This window comes from Homo sapiens, chromosome 7, assembly GCF_000001405.40.
Source record: "Homo sapiens chromosome 7, GRCh38.p14 Primary Assembly".
Lineage (NCBI taxonomy): Eukaryota > Metazoa > Chordata > Mammalia > Primates > Hominidae > Homo > Homo sapiens.
In genome coordinates, this window is record NC_000007.14 from 67,520,361 (window position 1) to 67,527,899 (window position 7,539).

Sequence of the window (7,539 nt, forward strand, 5' to 3'; positions counted from 1 at the left end):
GTTTGGCTTTTTTCATCAACAATTGAAAAGAAAGCATGTATTGCAAGACACCAAGCAAGGAGAATTGGGTAGCTCATACTTAAGACCTGACCTCCCCAATGGCTTGCAGGCAAGAGTTTTTAAAGGCAGAGATAAATTTTAGGAAAGTAGAAGCTACAGGCAAAATCATAAATCAATACATGGAGGTTACACATTGGTTTAAGCTTAAAAGTGTGGGATATCTTGAAGCGGGGGCTTACAGGTTGTAGATAGACTCAAAGATTTTCTGATTTGCAATTGGTTAAGATAGAGAAGCTTTGTTTAAAAATTTAAAGTCGACAGAAAAAAGAAAGTTAGCTTTCAAGGGGGATTGACTTTCCTCAAGCCCCTCAGGAAGAAACTTATAATAAAGAGTGATAGTTAAGGTTTGGTCTTCACTTTCCCCTTATCTGGGGTCTAGTGCCAGCTGATCTGTTCCACAGGGTTCTCTAGTGGGGGTCCAAGCCACTGAAAATCAACTCAGGGACATACATTAAGATGTTATTGTCAGAGGTGTGTAAACCAGAGTAACTCCATCTTTTTTTTTTTTTTTTGAGATGGAGTCTCACTCTGTCACCCAGCCTGGAGTGCAGTGGCGCAATCTCGGCTCACTGCAAGCTCCGCCTCCTGGGTTCACACCATTCTTCTGCCTCAGCCTCCCAAGTAGCTGGGACCACAGGTGCCTGCTACCATGCCCAGCTAATTTTCTGTATTTTTAGTAGAGACGGGGTTTCATCTTCTTAGCCAGGATGGTCTCGATCTCCTGACCTTGTGATCCACCTGCCTTGGCCTCCCAAAGTGCTGGGATTACAGGTGTGAGCCACCTCGCCCGGCCAGCAACTCCATCTTGAATGGGGCTGGATAAAATGAAGCTGAGAACTACTGGGTTGCATTCCCAGACAGTTAAGGCATTCTAAGTCACAGGATGAGATAGAAGTTCACCACAAGATACAGGTCATAAAGACCTTGCTGATAAAACAGGCTGCAGTAAAGAAGCTGGCTAAAACCCACCGAAATCAAGATGGCCATTAGGGTGACCTCTGGCCATCCTCACAGCTACACTCCCAACAGCACCATGACAGTTTACAAATGCCATGGAAATGTCAGGAAGTTCCCTTATATGGTCTAAAAAAGGGAGGCACAAATAATCCATCCTTTGTTTAGCATATAATCAAGAAATAACTATAAAAATGGGCAACCAGCAGCCCTCAGGGCTGCTCTGTCTATGGAGTAACCGTTCTTTTATTCCTTTACTTTCCTGATAAACTTGCTTTCACTTTACTCTATGGACACGCCCTGAATTCTTTCTTGTGTGAGATCCAAGAACCCTCTTTTGGGGTCTGGATGGAGACCCCTTTCCTGTAACATTATCTTTACTTTTTTAAATCAAAAATAAAATTCTAAGCACCACCAACTATCTGAATGAACCCCTCCTTTCAGCCAAGGGCATTCCAAAGTTAACCTGAAAAACTAGTTCAGGCTATTATGGGAATGGGGAGCTTAACATGACTCATTATATCTTCCTCTTTTTTAGAATTTACACATGGCTGACCAGCGTTAACATCAACACAAAGGCCTTAGGACTGATAGAACAGACTCTTTAAGTTGGATAAGGAACATTTACAATCTGTTCTCTCTGAAGCCTGCTACCTGGTGGCTTCATCTACGTGATGAAACCTTGGTCTCCACAACTCCTTACTGTAACTCAGACATTCCTTTCTATTGATTCCAGGTCTTTGGATATGAACTCAACTCATTGCCAATCAGAAAATCTTTGAATCTGCCTATGACCTGAAAGCTCCTGCTTCCAGTTGTCCTGCCTTTCTGGACCAAACCAAGGTACATGTTACATGTGTTGATTGGGGTCTTATGTCTCCCTAAATGTATTAAACCAAGCTGTAACCCAGCCACCTTGGGACATGTCATCAGGACCTCCTGAGGCTGTGTTATGGGCATGTCCTTAACCTTGGCAAAATTAACTTCCAAATTGATTGAGACTCATGTCAGATACTTTTTGGTTTACAGTTTCCATAGGGAATGCAAATGTCTGTAGAACTTCAGCTTCCTTGGTTATATTCGTTTAGGCTACTCTTACCTTCTTATTTAACAAATTACTTATTTACTTCTGGGGCTAGCAAGGTGCCTGGAATTTCCCTTGAGAGAACTTCCTCAAGCATGGAGATTTTCCTTAATCTCCATGCTTGAGGTCTGCAGGCTCCTAAAAGAAAAGGGGATCCCTGCTGTTTCACTCTCATCAGAGAAAGATGGTCACTTTCTGTGAAAACAGAAGAAGGGCGTGAACCAGGGTGGTAGTTGATCAGGATCTCACGCTGGGTCACAGATGACTCTGTTAAAAGAGGCAGCTATGCCATTGTCTGGATTCCGGATAGCTGAGATGAAGGCATCATTGCAAGTGAATTAAACAGTTGTTTCTGGCCTTAGGCTGCCTGGGATTTTACTCTACTTAGCTGTGACATCTTGAGCAAGTTAACCTCTTCAAGATGTGGAGTCCTAATTAGGAAGGGGGAGTTGGGCTGGCAGGACCAAGGGAAAGCAAAAAGAGAAAGACCATAAGCTATAAGTCCGCCTTTCTTCATGGTCCAGAACACATAGGCCTGCTGTGCAAATAACCCACAATCTTCCTGCACCCAGCTATCACCAGACCCTTGGCTGATGAAAAATGCAAGTTAATTCACTGCAGCCTTGGCATTATCAGACTGTACAAAGCCCTCTTCACCACACAGCACAAGCACCATTCCATAAAATCGTCAGCAAGCCTTTGTCATCTCTTTGCAGTCAGCCCCCATCTTGCTGACCTGCCCATTGCTTCCTTGCAATGTATTTTCATACTTTCTCTAATAAATCTGCTTTTGTTTACCTGTGACTGTCTTGGGAGATTCTCTTACTGCCCACACGACACTGGCCTCAGATAGTCACTATCTGCAACACAAGAGTTTATTTCTCATCTGTAAAGTGGCTCCAGTAACTTGATTTGGGGGGATTAATGAGCTAATCCAGGTAATATACTTGGCACAGTGCCTATATATTAAGCTCAGAAACATTGGCTGCTATTCTGAAGATAATTATTGTTATTGAGAGCTGGGGCTCTGGAATGAGACCCACTTGAGTTCCACTCTTGGCTATTGTATTTATTAGTTGTGTGATCTTGGACTAGTCATTACCTCCACAAGCATAAAATGTGGGTAATAATAGGTGTAGCTACTTCATAGAGTTAAGAAGATTAAGTGTGTTAATCCACTTAATGTGCTCAGCACATACTATATTATTATTTATCTCTACGTTCAGCTGTGAGTTTATCCATAGGTAGAGGAGGTGCCTGCTTTTTGGTACTAAACTGGGAAGGGGTGCAGACTTGTTTAAGGCTTGTTAGAGAGTAGTTGTAAGCTAACAGGTGGAAGGGCATGTGTCCCGGATCTGCTGGCTCCAAAACTGAAGCTTCCCACTGCCCAGTGCTTCCTCCTTGGGCTGGGTGCTAGGGGACTCTTCAGAAGATAGCAACCGCCTGTTTCATTGCACAGCTGTGGTGGGTGCGGCTCCAGCCTCAGCTCCTTCAGGACAGGGCAGATGCTTGGTTCATCTTTGCATCTATTCAGCTCAGACTGTGGAATGTAGTAATACCTCAGTGAATTGCTCTGAGTTGATTATAAGCCAAGAGACAAAGGTGAACATCCGAGATGGCATATTGTTACCAGAAAGGGGTCTCAATGCAGACCCCGAGAGAGGGTTCTGGAATCTTTTGTTTTGTTTTTTGGATTCTCAAATCTTGCCCAAGAAAGAATTTGGGGCAAGTCCACAGAGTACAGTGAAGGCAAGTTTATTAGGAAAGTAAAGGAATAAAAGAATGGCTACTCCATAAACAGAGCAGCCCCAAGTGCTGCTGGTTGCCCACTTTTACAGTTATTTCTTGATTATATGCTAAATGGGGGTGGATTACTCATGAGTTTTTTGGGAAAGTGGTGGATAATTCCTGGAACTAAGGGTTTCTCCCCTTTTTAGAGCTTATGGGTAACTTTTGGACGTTGCCATGGCATGTGTAAACTGTCATGGCACTGGTGGGCATATTTTTTAGCATGCTAATGTATTATAATTAGTGTATGGTGAGCAGTGAGGATGACCAGAGGTTACTTTGGTCGCCATCTTGGTTTTGGTGGGTTTTGGCCGGCTTCTTTACCACAGACTGTTTTATCAGCAAGGTCTTTATAACCTGTATCTCATCCTGTGACTTAGAAGGCCTAACCTCCTGGGAATGCAGCCCAGTGGGTCTCGGCCTTCTTTTACCGAGCCCCTATTCGAGATGGACTCTTGTTCAAACACCTCTGACAATATGATCAAGTTCCACGTTGTATGGGACAGATAATTTGAATAGAAATAGTCCAAAGGATAGGGCTGGAATCATCAGCAGAGCTCTCTGGAGGAGTTGAACTGAGCTGTTCCTTGAATGATGGACCTGCTTTAAAAAGGACATGGGGAAATGGGGACAATTTCTGGGTTGGGAGGCAACGTGGTCAGTGTGACTGCAATGTGCTGGAGGGAGCAGAAAGGGGCCAGTTTTGTTGGAGCAGGATGTGTGTGTTAGAGGTGAGGGTAAGGGAGGAGACCACCCCTCATATTGTCTTATGCCCAATGTCTGCCTCCAAAGAAAGAAGAAGTAAAAACTAAAAGGCAGAAATGAAATCCACAGGCAGACAGCCCAGTGCCACACTGTGGGCCTGGTAGTTAAAGATCGACCCCTGACCTAATCGGTTATGTTATCTATAGACAGATCTGTTCAAAAGTCACATTGTATAGAAAAGCACTGTGAAAATCCCTGTCCTGTTCTGTTCCGTTCTAATTACCGGTGCATGCAGCCCCCAGTCACGTACCCCCTGCTTGCTCAATCGCTCACTACCCTCTCACGCAGACCCCCTTAGAGTTGTAAGCCCTTAAGAAGGACAGAAATTGCTCACTCGGGGAACTCAGTTGTTGGAGACATGAGTCTTGCTGAAGCTCCTGGCCGAATAAAGCCCTTCCTTCTTTAACTCGGTGTCTGAGGGGTTTTGTCTGCAGCTTGTCCTGCTACAAAGGGGCGATGACAGGCCTTGAGAAGGGGATAGGAGTTTGAGCTCAATGTGGTAGCCTACCAAGAGATGCAGAAAGTTTCGGAGGTGGAATGACCTCTGATGAGTATCTTGAAGGTTGACTTGGTGGCTGTTGTGCAGGTTGCAGGTGTGGGCAGGGGAGCAATGCCTGGAAGCAGCCACATTTGCTGGTGCACCCCAGCACTAAGCGTGCAATCTGGTGCCTTGCAGAGCTGCCCTCAGCCTCTTGTCTGACTTGAGCATCCCGGGAGATTATGCAGTCTGCGTTGTGTTGCAAAGTGGTGCAGTCACTTAACCATGACCCACAGATTAAGTCACCTATTGTGTCGAGTAATGAGGCATTCTCAGAGGCCTTTATGCAAGCAAATAGAATATTTACCCAGGTCCCAGGGAGCCTGGGGATACCTTGGGAGCATGAGATGGCTTTGAAGTGGAATCAAATGAAACCCTTAAGCCTCTGAGTAGGACAGATCTGTTCAAAATCACAGCCTGTCAATTTCAAGGACAGACCATTTTCAGTGCAAATAAACTTTCAGCAAGAAGCCTTGGATAGTGAGCCTGCCTGGAGACACAGGGCTGTTTCTCAGTCATTATTTTTTAGGGCAGTGTGGAAAGGACAGGGAAACAGAGAGAGGCAAAGTGGATGGAAAACAGGGCACCTGGGTTCAACGACCTGCACGTTCCCAGTATCAATGTGTGACCTTGAGGAGGCCAGAATCTAATGATAATAAGGCCATGTTAGACTTTGATGTGCTAACTGATTTAATCCTTGAACCACTTTCAGAAATAATTTATTAATGAGTAAGTCAAGATGGGAGGTAAGGGCAACTCGGGGCAATTCTGAAAGGTGGTTCTAGCTTCAGATGGTTGACTGAGGCTGTCAGAGGCATTTGAACCAGAGTGACTCCATCTTGAATAGGAGCTAGGTAAAATAAGGCTGAGACCTACTGGGCCACATTCCCAGGAGGTTAGGTATTCCGTCACAGGATGAGATAGGAGGTCAGCACAAGACACAGGTCATAAAGACCTTCCTGATAAAACAGGTTGCAGTGAAGCAGCGGCCAAAACCCACCAAAACCAAGATGTCAACAAAAGTGACCTCTGGTCGTCCTTACTGCTCATTATGTGCAAATTATAATGCATTAGCATGCTAAAAGACACTCCCACCAGTGCCATGACAGCTTACAAATGCCATGGCAATGCCCGTATGTTACCCTAGATCATCTAAAAAGGGGAAGAACCCTCAGTTCCAGGAATCGCCCACTCCTTTCCTGAAAAATTCATGAATAATCCACCCATTGTTTAGCATATAATCAAGAAATAACTGTAAGTATTATCAGTCGAGAACCCAAGCTACTGCTCTGCCTATGGAATAGCCATTCTTTATTTCTTAATAAACTTGCTTTCACTTTTTAGACTTTCTCTGAATTCTTTCTTGTGTGAGGTCCAAGAGCCCTCTCTTGGAGTCTGGATCAGGGCTCCTTTCAGGTAACAAGGCTGTCATTGGGACAGTGGAAGTAGCCACTGTTGCTTACATCCTAGCTCTTCACAGGTATAGAAAGGAGAACTTCCTCTTCCCCCTACCCTTAACAATTTCCTGTACATCAACTCCATCTCAGAGTCAGCTTGCTGGGGAATCCAACCTGTGACAACGCAGTGAGACAATGTTGAAGCCAGGAGTCATTTATTCCCTCTCTGGGCCCCAGTTTCTCCATATACAAAATGAAAATGGTACATTAGATGAGCAGTTCTCAAAGTGTGTGGCCCATGGACTCCTGACGGTGCCAGAGACACTATCAGGACATGTATGAAGTCCAAATCATTTTTTGCCCAGGCTGATCTCGAACTCCTGAGCTCAAGCAATTCACCTGCCTTGGTCTCCCAAAGTGCTAGGATTACAGGCATGCCCAGCTTAACAGTACTTTGGGAGACTGAGGCTGGTGGATTATGAGGTCAGGAGTTCGAGACCAGCCTGGCCAATATGGTGAAATCCCATCTCTACAAGAATATTAAGGTGTGGTTTGCTGTGTTCACTGAGTTGACATTTGCACTGAATGTGCAAACAATCGTGCCTTAGTGGTGACCTCAAACTGTGCTAGTCTCATGACATTCTTTACCATCATGCATGCACAGTTATAAAAAAAAAAAAGCAAAGCAAAAAAAAAAAAGAGCGAGTTTCACTTGAGAATGTCCTTGACGAAGCAGTAAAAGTTATTGATTTTATTAAATCTCCACCCTTGAGTACACCTCCTTCTACTATTCTGATTGTCCAAATGCATAATAAGGTACAGTGGTTGCCTTGAGAAGAACCTCAGGTGGGATAGTTGGAGATGTAAGTTGAACTAGTCGGCTTTTTCATGGAACACATTTTTAATCGAAGTAACAATTGACAGACAAGCTATGACACACATTTTCTTGGAAA

At 44.4% G+C, this 7,539-nt stretch overlaps 2 annotated features.

The window, feature by feature from the left end:
• Positions 2,065-2,575: an enhancer, noted in NCBI's record as "NANOG hESC enhancer chr7:66987412-66987922 (GRCh37/hg19 assembly coordinates)". NCBI's record gives its function as "activates a minimal SCP1, AML or CMV promoter by ChIP-STARR-seq in naive H9 embryonic stem cells {active_cell/tissue: H9 hESC(naive)}" and the evidence as "EXISTENCE:reporter gene assay evidence [ECO:0000049][PMID:30033119]".
• Positions 5,028-5,901: an enhancer, noted in NCBI's record as "OCT4-NANOG hESC enhancer chr7:66990375-66991248 (GRCh37/hg19 assembly coordinates)". NCBI's record gives its function as "activates a minimal SCP1, AML or CMV promoter by ChIP-STARR-seq in naive and primed H9 embryonic stem cells {active_cell/tissue: H9 hESC(naive and primed)}" and the evidence as "EXISTENCE:reporter gene assay evidence [ECO:0000049][PMID:30033119]".